General features: G+C 47.3%; 1 annotated feature.

Moving 5' to 3' along the window:
* Positions 10,185-10,244: a silencer, noted in NCBI's record as "silent region_10477". NCBI's record gives its function as "represses an Ori minimal core promoter by ATAC-STARR-seq in GM12878 lymphoblastoid cells {active_cell/tissue: GM12878}" and the evidence as "EXISTENCE:reporter gene assay evidence [ECO:0000049][PMID:35858748]".

Genomic DNA, 13,528 nt, shown 5'->3' with positions numbered 1-13,528 from the left:
TTCTATCAGGAAGACATCCGTGCTTCTAAAAAGCACATGTATTAACTGCCTGATTCATGTGGTGACATGTGGCATATTCGAGTGTGTTATGGATCTCTCAGGAATAAAAACAACATAGCAAAACCATCACCTTGGGATGTTCATTGAGTGAATATTTTACAGACACACTCCTTTTATATTTATATAATAATTTAGTGTTATGACAATTTTTTTAGCAGAGTTGGCAGTTTTTCTTTTTTATAATGGTATTATATTTGTGAGCCTATTAACTGCATATGGGATAAACTACAGAAAAAAGTATTTTTCATAAGTCCTCAGGGTGCTTGTAGCAAAAAAAAAAAAAAAAAAAAAGAAAAAAAAAGAAAAAAAAAAGACAAAACCACCACACCAAACATATTGGTTTAGAAAAATGTTAATAAAAGGTCAAGCAGAACTTTCCAATGCTTAGCATGACAGCAGCGGCAATTTGGAGGCTTTTTTGAATTGTATATTGAGGAGACGTGGAGACTTATGGGGCTTCCAGCAGGAAAACAGCACCTAATGTCCTTTCTGAAAGAGAGATTGACCCTTTGGTAGGGTTTATGATTTTTTTTTTTTTTTTTTTTTTTGAGATACAGTCTCACTCTGTCACCCAGGCTGGGGTGCAGTGGCGTGATCTTGGCTCACTGCAACCTCCGCCTCCTGGGTTCAAGCGATTCTTCTTCCTCAGCTTCCTGAGTAGCTGGGACTACAGACGTCCGCCACCACACCTGGCTAATTTTTGTACTTTTAGTAGAGACAGGGTTTTGCCATGTTGGCCAGGCTGGTCTCAAACTCCAGACCTCAAGTGATCTGCCCGCCTTGGCCTCCCAAAGTGCTCACAGGCGTGAGCCACAGTGCCCAGCCAAGTTTTTAACAAAGAATTAAAACCGCATGTTGCTTCTCTCTCCTCATCCATTTCTCCTCTACAATGAGCCCAGGCCAGTCTCTGGCTTGGCCTGGGTCCCTGGGAGCTGGCAGTGCTGGGCCTGCTGGCATTGGGCACCTCTTAGCTGGGCATCTTCCCAGGAGCTGGGGGAGTGAATGGTGACATCTTGGGGTACTTCCCTCCTTTTTCCATCTTCTGAGGCAGAAAGGCAAAGCTGTCTCTCCAAGTCAGAGGAGACAGAACAGGTGCATACGGAGGACAGGGCCAAGGTCCACTTATAGAAGAGGAGCTGGGCAGAGGCTGTTGGCAGGACCCATGACCTGGCTGCCCATGCAGGAGGCCCCCTGCACTTTCCCCTCCCTTCCTAGGTGCCCTGCAACTGGGAGATCAGGTAAGGACAGGGAAACATCTTGTAGTTCTTTCTGTAAAGATTTTATTTTTCTTTTTATTTTCTAAAGATGGGGTCTCACTATGTTACCCAGGCTGATCTTGAACTCCTGGCCTCAAGCCATCCTCCCCACCATCCTCCCAATGCTCTGAGATGACAGGCGTTAGCCACTGTGCTCAGCCTTGTATTTCTTAATTTCTTCCTCACCCCTTCTTTTTTCCTTTCAAAGAACTCATAAAAATGCAAAAATAGGGCATGGCTATTTGGAGATTTTTATTTAGCCATTGCCTGCATGTGAGCCTGTTTCAGGCAAACCCATACACTATGATTCCTGCTGGCCTCAAATTAAACTTCCTCAATATAGAGATGTTCTCTGTGAAGAAGTGGACAGAGAGTGACTGTCTTGGAATGGATCCAACATGGCTCCTGGGGGCGGAAGCCCAGCCGCCCAAGTGCCCAAAACGGCAGGACACACCCTCCCACAGCCATTTGGCGGTGGCCCTTGTGTGAGGTGGAGACAAGTCCAGGAGGTGCAGAAAATCAGTCACACATTGTCCTGGGACCTGCCGGATTGTTTGTGTCTGCACTGCATCCCATCAGCTCTGCACTGAAAGTATCTTTTCACAAATGAAAGCAAAGGGGTCATTAGAACCCAGGTCTGGGCCAGGTGCAGTGGCTCACGCCTGTAATTCTAGCCCTTTGGGAGGCCAAGGCAGATGGATCACTTAAGGCCAGGAGTTTGAGACCAGCCTAGCCAACATGGCGAAACCCCATCTCTACTACTAAAAATACAAAATTTAGCCAGGACATGGTGGTGGGCACGTATAATCCCAGCTGGCTTGAGCAGGAGAGGCTGAGGCAGGAGAATGGCTTGAACCCAGGAGGCAGAGGTTGTAGTGAGCCGAGATTGTGCCACTGTATTCCAGCCTGGACGACAGGAATGAAACCCTGTCTCAAAAACAAACAAACAAACAAACAAACAAACAAACAAACACACACACACCCAGATCTGGCTTCTACATTTGGGAAGGTAGGAGCTTGTACAGTGGCAGCGATAGGGTCGGGTGGAGAGTCCCCCAGGGCTAGGAGCAGAAGCCCGCCGTGGCATCTGAGCAGAGAAGAGCTCTCAGCACAGCATTCAGGATTAACTTCCATCTACGATGTTCATTTGGGTATTTCCTGGGCACCACTTTTCCATGTGCCAAGCTCTGAGCTAGGTGCCAGGTACACAGACTAGTGAAGCATGCCACCCTCGCCCTTGCAGGGGCAAAAACGAATCCAACCATCCCTCCGATGAATATTTAATGACAATGGTGGTGAGTGAAATGAGGATGGAGTACTCTGTCCTATGAGAGTGTGAAATGGCCAGGTCGTGCTGAGTGAGGTAGCAAGGTCACAGCTTGTCTTGATTTAAAATTTTGATAATCTTGCTCATTATGGATTTTGAAAAATGCATTCATTGTGATTTTTAAAGAGATTGCACTTACCTTGATTGTTGAGTTTTTTGGTGCTCAATGTGAGGTGAGAGCTGTCTAGAACTGGAGGCTGGGTGAATCCCCTAACTTTCAGGGTGGTTAACATACCTCATTACCTTCCAGCAAAATGCTCTTTCACCTCCGGTCTGCAACTTCCTGTGAACTGTGGGGACTGTGTTCCTCATGGCGTCTCCTGGGTGGGACGAGGTCCAGGTTCGTGATCTTATATTCTCCAAGGGGCAGCTTGGAGAGGTTAAGCAGACTCCTCCAGGCCATCAGGCGTGGTCCAGGGCTGGGGGTGCTGATTTAACATTCCTCTACGGCCACCCTTGGGTCAGAAGGGCAAGTTCTACAGACCACAAGTTCAAGGCTTGCTCCCTCCAGGACATGTCCCCTGCCTGCCCAGCCACACAGGCCTCTGCTCAGTTGGCTCTCTCCGGGGCTCTGTTGGGGCCACATGACACCGGTAGGACTTTGATTCCTCTCTGACTGCTTCCGGGGTTTTCTCATGGCTGCTTGGATCTGCTTTCCCCAGACTGACAGTGAACACCTGCCAGTCTCCAGTTTCACTGTTTCATCCTCAGGTCCCTTAAAAGATAGCTCAAGAGCCGAGCACTTTGGGAGGCTGAGGCAGGCGGATCATGAGGTCAGGAGATTGAGACCATCCTGGCTAACACGGTGAAACCCCGTCTCTACTAAAAATACAAAAAATTAGCCGGGCGTGGTGACGGGAGCCTGTAGTCCCAGCTACTCAGGAGGCTGAGGCAGGAGAATGGTGTGAACCCAGGAGGCGGAGCTTGAAGTGAGCCGAGATCGTGCCACTGCACTCCAGTCTGGGTGACAGAGCGAGACTCTATCTCAAAAAAAAAAAAAAAAAAAGATAGCTCAAGGGAGAGCGTTCCTGGTTTAAAGTGTGCTAGGGTAAGCCTGAGTGCGGTGAAGGTGACTGAGAAGGCACCCTTGGTGGGGACAGGGCAGCCTCCCAAACAGACCATGGGATGCAGGAGTCGGATTTGACTCATGCAGGCTCTGTCTTTAACATAGGCAGGGCTTGCTTTTGGGGCAGGATCTCATCCCCGTGGGCCCTCCCTTGGTGACAGCAGCAACGTGACACAGACAATTCCTAGACGCGCAGCCTGGTGGGGAGAGAGCGGGTCTGGGTGTCTGAGCCCTTCCTCCAGTCCCTCCCACACTAATCTTGCAGCCTGAGTGTGGTGGAGCATCTGCTTGGGAATCTAATGCAGGGGTCCAAAAATGGGCAGATTGTCTCTGTGTTTATTAGATGTGCTTGTCTACCTCCGAATGTGTAGCAACTCTCATGCCTTTGCCACTCTGTTCCGAGATGGAGGGAATTGAGCAGCTTTTGTTGGAGACGATTTCTATGTCTGGTGGTGGTGGAGATGTCTGCTCTCTGATGAAGAGCATGGAGAGGCCCTCCATGGGGTTCCGTTCCGGCCACTGGGGGAAGCCTTTTGAAATGGAGAGGCCTCACTGCCCACTTTCCACCCACCATGTCCTTGCTCCTTGCACCGGGTAAAAGGCAGTCACACCCTTACACATAGGGCTGCCAGTCTGAGTGTCTTCAGTGGCTCCTTTGCTCTGAGCACTCACTGGGGTCTTGCCCTCCAGGCAGCTCTGGGTCCCGTGAGGAGAGGCAGGAGCCCAGGGCTGGAGATCCCAGGCTCAGATGTGATGCTGATAGGCGATGGGCCAAGAGCATCAGGCTTCTGGCTCCTTCCTGTTCCTCTTCCTCTGCTCTGCCCAGTGGCAAATGACGTCCTTTAAACATGGGATAACGATGCCTTTCGCCCCCCTAATGAGGGGCTTTCATGCTCATTATGTCATTAGAGTCTGGGGACAAGCTTAGGTAATTAGTGCCATCTTACAGATGGGGCAACAGAGACCAGGGTTTGTCCAACTTTACCTGCCTGCCAAGGGCTCTGCTTCAAGCCTGCTGGCATCTGCTCCTTTGGTCGCCTTGAAGGCAGGTGGATCCCCTGTGCTGTGTCCTTCCTCGGCAGAACTTGGGGAGTGTCTCTTGGAAGGTGATTTTTTTTAACGGAGGTAAAACCACCCAGCCCCCTGGGCATGCGTGTCCTTCTTTTCCCCCACAGCTGATGCTCGGTATGAAACTGACAGCATGGCCTGAGCGCCACCCTGAAATGCCATGCTGCTTTCTGGATATGAAACTGGTAGAGAAACAAGCCACTGGACGATGTCTACACAGTCCTTCCATTCCCCCTGTTCCTTCCTATATTTAGAAAACACTCATTAAGTGCCTACCAAGTGCCAGGTATCACGCTGAGTGCCAGCGCAGAGCAGAGGCATTCAAGTCCAGAGGAGAGATGCTCACCGATGTGCGTGTCCGTATGTGTAACCATGTATGTTCTCACTGCTTCCTGTAAGCAAGTGCCTTTGTTGCAGCAGTCGGGGTGGAAGGACCTTCCGACTTTATGCTGTGGCTGCCTTGCTGTGGTGCGGCTGTCTCTGGGATGGGCTGTGGCCAGTTGTGATACCTTGGTGGTCTGGCATGTGTGTCAGAGACTGCTGGTACTAAGATGTCCTTGGTCCGTGCTGGGTATCACTTGCTGGCATGGAGACTTTTCCATGCCAATACTAGGGGCGGGGGGAGTCTTGAGTTAGCTTTTGCAGTAGCACCGTGCCCAAGGTATTCTTTTGGAGATGCCCTTCTCTTATCACATGCCTTACTTGGGACAGATGGGTTTTCAGTTCAGTGACCCCCACCTGGAGTCCCAGATACCTCTATCCACACAAGTACCTCCTCCTCTGGTGCCTTTGTATTCATTCATCCAGGTGGCACCCCAGGCATTAGGACACCGGCTGAATCCCCAAATTGCCTTGCACAGAAGAGCCCCATCCTGAGCCTATGGTCCCCCTGGTGCACACAGAGCAGCCCCCTCCAGGTTTGGGCAAGGATAATGGAAGTTGCGAATTTACCTCTGACATATTTGACCCCAGTGTCTCAGCCCCCAGATGGCACAGGACCTGCCTCGGACTGTGTCCTCAGGGCCCAGCCCACAGTTCCTCCATCCTCCACCACCCCAAGGGCTTTTTCTGGCTACAAAGAAGCAACTTCCCCAAGGGAGGGACTGGGCAAGGGCAGACACAGATCTCTTGAGAAACTGGGGACCAAGTGCATGGTAAAATGGGATTATGGGCTGGGTAGCGTGGCTCACGCCTGTAATCCCGGCACTTTGGGAGGCCAAGATGGAAGGATCACTTGAGTGTTTGAGACCAGCCTAGGCAACGTAATGAGACCCCCTTCTCTACAAAAAATAAAAATAAAAAAAATGTAGCTAGGTGTGGTGGCATGCACCTGTGATCCCAGGTACTTGGGAGGCTAAGGCAGGAGGATGGCTTGAGCCCAGAAGGTCGAGGCTGTAGTGAGCTGTGATCAATCACATCACTGCACTCCAGCCTGGGCAACAGACAAAGACCCTGTCTCATTAAAGAAAAAAATAGTTAATACTGGAAGAAATGGGACTATGGAAACAGGAGAGGCAAAGATGAGTGTAATTTCTGGGACATAAGATGTGCAGGCCTGTAATAGGCACCTCAATTTTATAAGAATTATCTTAAGAAAATAGTTTGATTAATTTTTATCATGCAAGAGATGATAATGACTTTAAAATGATTGAGGAGGAAAGACATCATTTTCCTCCCATATAAATATAGTGGGATGACATTAGAACCCAGGAGGAAATAAATCCTGGAAATCTATTAGTTAATCTCCAAACCCTGAAAAAAATGTGTAAGACCACATAGATTTTGTGCTTCCTTCCATGACATGGTGCATTGGATGCAGGAAAACTTTGCATGTGCATTTTTGGGAGAAGTGTGATTTCTATGCTGACACCTGTGAAGGTGGACATGAAAGCTCCTGAAAGTGTAGATGACGATCATGATTCAACAGAACGCTCTTCTTTCTTTGTTTAGCCACTGACTGTCCAGCGTTTTGGTTGGACTCAAGGCCAATGCACAAGATGATTTCTGGGCTGGGGAGAATGGGGGGTGGTGTATCCTGAGGGCAATCCCCTTAGCCTGATTCTCTATTTTCAGGGACATCCAGATCTCCTGAGGGATGAGCTACCAGAGCATTCCAGCTGACAAGGGGCTCAGAAAAGAAACACATCAAGATTCCACCCCCACGACGGTTGCTTACTCAGTTAGCAAGTGTGAACCGCCAGTGCCGCCAGGTTCCCCGCACCAGGCCACTCCAGGCCAGGCACAGCTCGTGCAGTGACCTCCTGAATCGGCCTCCCTGCTGCAGTTCTGGCACACTGGGTTCCATTCTCAACCGGGAGCTGGCGATATCCTGGGAAAATGAAATCAGGTCTCGTCGCTCTCACGCACAAAGTCTCCAACGGCTCCCATCATACACAAAAGAAAATCCACACTCCCTCCTGTGCCCCAGAAGGTTCTCTGGGCTCTTGCCACCTGTCCCCTCCCCTACGCCTCTCCTTCGCCTTCTCCTTTTCAGCCACACGGGGCTCCGCGCAACTGTTCCGCAGGCACACCAAGCCCCTCCCCTCCTCGGGCCTTCGCCTCGGCTGTTCCCTCTGCGGGGAAATGCTTGTCCCAGATTCACAGGTGACTCGCTGCTCACCACACTCAGGTCTCCTCACCGTCACCTCCTCTGAGTGGCCCTCCCGGAACCCCTCCCTAGCATAGCTCCTTCCCCAGCCGGTCGGTGACCCTCGCCCTGCTTCCCTCCACAGCAGGCCATGGAACATCCCCACGGGGCTGCTTTCTTGGTTTGTTCCTTTTCAGTTTTCCTAACCGTGGAGCTTATCGACTGCTCTACAAGGGCAGGGCTTTGTCTTGTTTACAGCTGTTGCCAGGCTTGAACGTGCTTTGCTCTGAATGTGTGTTTTGAGAGTATTGGATTTAAAAAATGAGCAAATGAATGAGCATTGTCTTTTTTTTTCTTTACTTTTTTTTTGGTAGAATGGAGGCTGGTCTCGAACTCCTGGCCTCATGTGATCCTCCCGCTTTGGCCTCCCACAGTGCTGGGATTACAGGCATGAGCCCCCTTTGCCTGGCCTGAACAAACACTCTCAAGTAATGCTGGTGGGAACGTAAAATACAATATTTCTAGAAAACCACTAAAACTATTTTTCTTCTAAACAATTGATAAAAAATTGTTAAATATATAAAGAAAAAAGAATATTAAAGCAGCCAAAAGAATATTAAAAATTACTTGTAGTCCACCTGCCATTATTATTATTTAAAGGAATACCTTATAGGTTTTTTTTTCCTATGTGTGTAGAAAGCATGGTTACAATGTAACTTGCTTTTTGCTATAAAGCAGTATTTTATGAGACCTTCTTGAATATTAAATGTTAAGACATCCTTAAATGTTAATTTCTACAACATTACTATTGAGGACTTGATTGTATTATCTTATGATATTATATAATCTATGTAAAATCTGGTTGCCTATTGTTGGACATTTGGTTTGTTTCTGATAGCAATGAACAATCTTACAGGTGAATCTTTGTACATACCCATGATAGATTCCTTTGGAAGTAGAATCTTTGGGTCACGTGTTGTAAGAATTTTGATCATATTGTGAAATTACCCTTTATAAAGTTTACCAGTTACCTGATTTACCCTATCACCTGTGGTGTTGAAAGGATTCGTTTATCCATCCTTGACAATACAATCATTGTTTTTGTGTTTATCAATATAGGGACAAAATTTTCTCATTTTTGTTTTAATTTGCATGTCTTTTGATTATTAATAAGACTAAACATCTTTTATATGTCTATCATTTGTATTTCTTTTGGTGAATTGCTATTCATGTCCCCAATTCTATTGAAGTATTTGTCTGTTCTTCATTTGTGAGAAAGCTCTACACACCTGGGGCATTAACCTTCTTTCTGTTATGTATATTGAAAGTGTTTTTTTCTCCTAGTGTTGGTTTACCTTTCAATTTCAAAATTATATTTTTCACATGTGGGTATTTTAAATTTGTGCACCTCAAATCTGGGCATTTTAAAGTTTTTAGCTTCTGCCTTTGCAATTGGACTTAGAACTTCTCTATTACCATATATGTAAATATCACTTTTATAGTTTCACTTAAAAATTTAAATCTTTAATCCTTATAGCATTCATTTGAATATGTGGTATGAGGTAGGACACTAACTTTTCTTGTTTTCTGAATGAGTGGCAGATTGTACCTATAACTTCATCAATCAGCCATCCTTTTCCCACTGATATAAAATGGCTTTATGTTAAAATGTAAGTTATTGCCTATTTGCTCCCTTTTGTGCTCTCTATTTTGTGCTTCACTGTTTAAATTATTGTAGCTTTCTGTGATATATGTTAATATCTTTGTTGAGGAAGTCTCCTCTCTTTTTTCACAAACATGTTTTTTGGAGATTTTTCCTTATTTACTCTTTCACATGGAATTTGGAATCAATGTGACAAAATATCAAAAAAGCTTTGATGGAATTTTTATTGGCCTTGCATTCAAGTGAAAGATGAGATGAGTGGGGACTGATATGTTGGTGATACAGTTTTTCTGACCACTCATTTGAGCACTATTTTATATTCACTCATCATTTTAAATAATATTCTCCACATAGGTATTATACATCTAGAAAATAGTAATGCTACTAAGAGCTTTAAAAATGTTAATTCTCAGCTGGGCGCAGTGGCTCACACCTGTAATCCGAGCACTTTGGGAGACTGAGATGGGCAGATCACCTGAGGTCAGGAGTTCGAGACCAACCTGGCTAACACAGTGAAACCCCGTCTCTACTAACAATACAAAAATTAGTCGGGTGTGGTGGTGCGTGCCTGTAGTCCCAGCTACTGAGGGGGCTGAGGCAGGGGAATTGCTTGAGCCAGGGAGGCGAATGTTGCAGTGAGCCGAGATTGCTCCACTGCACTCCAGCCTGGGGCATGGAGCCAGAATCCATTAAAAAAAAAGTTAATTTCTTTTCATTTAATAATTCTGCCTTTATTGATGGATCTTAACAATATAAACAAAAGTTTCTGAATAGAGGTTTCAGTTATAGCATTATGCACAAGGATGAAAACATTAGAAACTCTTTAAATGAGCAATTGGGAGATGGTTCAGTAACTTTTGGTGCAGTCCCAAGTTGAAATATTACACAGCCCCTAAAAAGATATCTGTGAGGCTATCTTGTGTGACAATAACTTTCGTTTAAGTGATACCTAGGAAATCAAGGTTTAATATTGTAGGAAAAGCTTTGTATTTCATAGGTACACAGAAGACATCGTAGAATGCACATAAAGACTGGAGATAATTGTACGAAAACGTTAATAAGAGCGGTTATCTCTGGAAGAGAGGTTATGATGAACAAAAATGATTATTTTAAATATGGGAGCTCTCTGTCCTTTCGAATGTCCCTGTAATTTGCACGCACATTGAGCGAAGGGCGCAAAGCGAACATTGGCGGGCAGCGAGCGGGCGGGAGAGCCGGGCGGTGGGGCCGGTGCAGTCCCGCGCGCGGCCGGAGGGTGGCAGTGTCCGCTCGCAGACCCGTGGCGAGCGGCCTGCTGACCTCTGTCGGCCTCGGCCGCCTCCGGTTTATCACCGATCGCAAGAGCGGAATGAACATATTTACTTGTGTTTTGCTTTCCACTTATAATATCTAGTGGCATGGGAGGGAAATGAAAACAATTGTTCATAGGGGAAATTTATGAGCTTCATCTGGCTGCGTGATTTCCGCAGTTGCCCCGCCGCCGCCCGGGGACTCGGTTGCCTTCTGCATCCTCGGGCGAGCAGGAATGCGCTTTTCCAGCTGCCAGGGCGGCCCGGCGGGGCCCTCGGAGCGGGTTTTGGTGGCAGCTGCCTCGCAGAAGCAGAACTTGGCAGGCTCCCTTTCCTTCCCCTTGAGTTTGAGAAGGGCCCCAGGTTCCCTGTTTTCGGGGTGTCAGGGTGCTCCTGGGTTCATGCTGCGCTCCCCGGGGGTCCGGATGAGCCAGCGTTTCTTGACAATCCAGGGATGTCCCTAAAACGCGGTCCCCTTGTTGGACTAGGGTGGGGCAGGGCTCTGCGGACCTTCAGACCCTCGGGAAGGCCTCTCCCGGGTCATGGTAGCGGGTGGAGGGTGGGGGCAAGTCCCTTCCCCTGCGATGCCAGCTGCATCCTGGGACCTGGGGTCTCATTTCCAGAACAGGGGCGGGGACCCCACGAAAGGGACGCCTGAGGGCTGAGGGTTTTGCTGGAGCTGCCTGTCTTTAGAAAAGGGCAGGAGATGGGGGAGCTTCTATCCCTTTCCAACCCGGCTGAAAGCAGGGCCCCTGGCTTAGCGCGATTGGACCGCAGGTGCTTGCTGGGATGGAGGAGACGAGGGGGAGACCTGTGGTGTCTTCAGACGCCTGGGGCCTCAGGCTCACAGCACTTGCTCCTGGGAACCTACCCTGCCTGAAGCTCAGCCCTAGGCAGGAACTTTCTTCTGGAACTGAACCGTTATGTCACCCTGATGAACGGCTCCCTCCCAGGCTGTGGACTGTGCCGTGCCCAGCCTAGGCAGAGAGCAGGCTGGGGGCTTACCCTCCCGGTGTGAGCTGTGCCTAAAGAGGGGAAGCCAGGCCCACTCTAGCAGGTGCCAGGAGCGTAGAAGAAGCGAGATATTAAAACCACAAACCGCAGCGACTGCCAGGAACACACTGCAAGTGGGCTTTGATATGGAGACTCATGTCATTGGATGCACGTCAGGGCATGTATGTGTGTGTTTTTGTGGGGTGCTGATCATCTTTATATTAGGAAGAGCTGTTCATGGTTATAATGGATCTAGGATTCTCCCTTCTTTCTTTCTTTTTCCTTCCTTCCTTCCATCCTCTCTTTCTTCCTCTCCCTTTTTTTCTCCTTCCTTCCCGCTTCCCTCCCTCCTTCCCTCTATCCTTCCTTCTACCCTCCTTTAATCCCTTCCTCCTTCCTTCTTTCCTTTTTCTCTCTTTTTTCTTCCCTTCTTCCTTCCCTCTCTCCTCCCTTGCTCTTCTTTCTGTTTTCCTCCATCCTTCCTCCCTCCCTCCTTCCTTGCTTTCTTTCTCTCTTCTCTCCCTTCCTCCCCCTCTTTTCTCTCTTTCTCACTTTCTTTCTCTTTTTTTCATTCATTCTTCCTCTCTCTTTCCCTCCCTTTCTCCTCCTCTTTTCTCTTTCTTTCTCTTTTTTTAAAATTCATTCTTCCTCTGTCTTTCTCCTCCTCCTTCCCTTCTTCTTTATTTCCTTCTCTTTTTCCTTCCCTCCCTTCTTCCTTCCCACCCTCCCTCCCTTCCTTTCCCAGCTTGGGGGAGGTTTCCTTGAAGTGGGTCTTTGTGCCCGTGGGATTCTAGGAAGCCAAAGTGCACAGGGTCCTTGCTCCCTGGCCTCACAGCCACCTCTTAGCCAGGACTGCTCTAGCTCTCTGCCTGCAGGGATGTGCCAGGATGCTGCTGCTGCCGGGAGCAGTGTCAGGGTCACTTTGGAGGAAGTGACCCCCTGGCCCTACCTGTTCCAGGCAGACAGGTGAGCCTTTGGTGCCAATCAGCCGGCTTGGTGGGACTAAATTGCCCTGGGGCCACCTCAGCCTTTCCCAGGGACCGAGGTTCACTTCGTCTAGGACTGGTTTCCTCTAAGTGATGTTTACTCTGGCAGAAACATGAGAAGGGGAAACTGGTTCACTCTCTGTCTTGGAGAGACTATTTAAAGAACCTGTGCAATTGCTGGTGAGGACCTGGGCTTTGCATGTGCCAGAGCTGGTAGGTTGGTTCTTTGGGGTCTCTGGCCCACGGGACCCTTCCTAGGCTCATTACAATCCACCATGTTTCCCCAGCAGCCTTACAATCGAATTACTCAAAATTGCACTGCTTTATTGCATACAGCTCAACTCCAAGACAAGCAAAGGCCCAGATAATGAACAATTATTTATGACAAATTATTACCTTTACATATAAGATTAACAATTTCTATTAAGCTCAGTATAGGTGACAACCTCTCTTAGAAAAATGTGTGTGCAGTTCAGCAAGTGCCAGCTTGAAGGTGAGGTATGGAGGGTGCTGCGTTTGTGGGTGCACCTGCTGGCTGTTCCGGAGGGTGTATTCCAGGCCAAGGGGAGCCCTTGGCTGATGGGCATGAGCTGTCAGGCCACTCTTTCTCCCAAAGGCAGCCATGTTCCCGTCTCAGCTTGGAGGCTGGCAGTTTTGATGGGGCTTCCAGCTTTCTTCATCTCCTTTTGAATGTATAATAATGAAAGCACTAAAGAATGTGAAATGTTTCTTTAATTGCATTTAAGGTTAAAAAATTCTGTTTTGTTTGAAACTGAACTTAACTTTTAAAATTATTTATGGACTCAATAACGTATGTTTGGGTTATTGAACCCTGTCTCCATGCTTGCTTTTGTGACTAGAATCCTCTCCCAGCTAATTATAACATACAGTATTTTCCCAGCAGTCTTACAATCAAATTATTCAAAATTGCATTTCTTTATTGCATATTGCTAGAACCCAAGACAAGCAAACATCAAGATAATAAACAATTATTTATTGCAAATTATTACCTAATATATAAGATTAACAGTTTGTAACTATTAAGATTAATACATGTGGTAAACTGTATTTATTATACTTATTTCGTAGCAAATATCTTTGTATAAAACATATGTTTATGTATTGCAATTAATGAGAAAAAGTGTAAGATTAACAATTTATGTTGGGTTTTGTTTTTAGATTTATGCACACTGTAAAACTTATTTATTGCACTTATTAAAAGTATTTAATGAT

The sequence above is a fragment of the Homo sapiens genome, chromosome 19 (assembly GCF_000001405.40).
Source record: "Homo sapiens chromosome 19, GRCh38.p14 Primary Assembly".
NCBI classification, from domain to species: domain Eukaryota; kingdom Metazoa; phylum Chordata; class Mammalia; order Primates; family Hominidae; genus Homo; species Homo sapiens.
The sequence above is the reverse complement of the archived record's forward strand: the minus strand, read 5'-3'. Positions and strand labels throughout refer to the sequence as shown.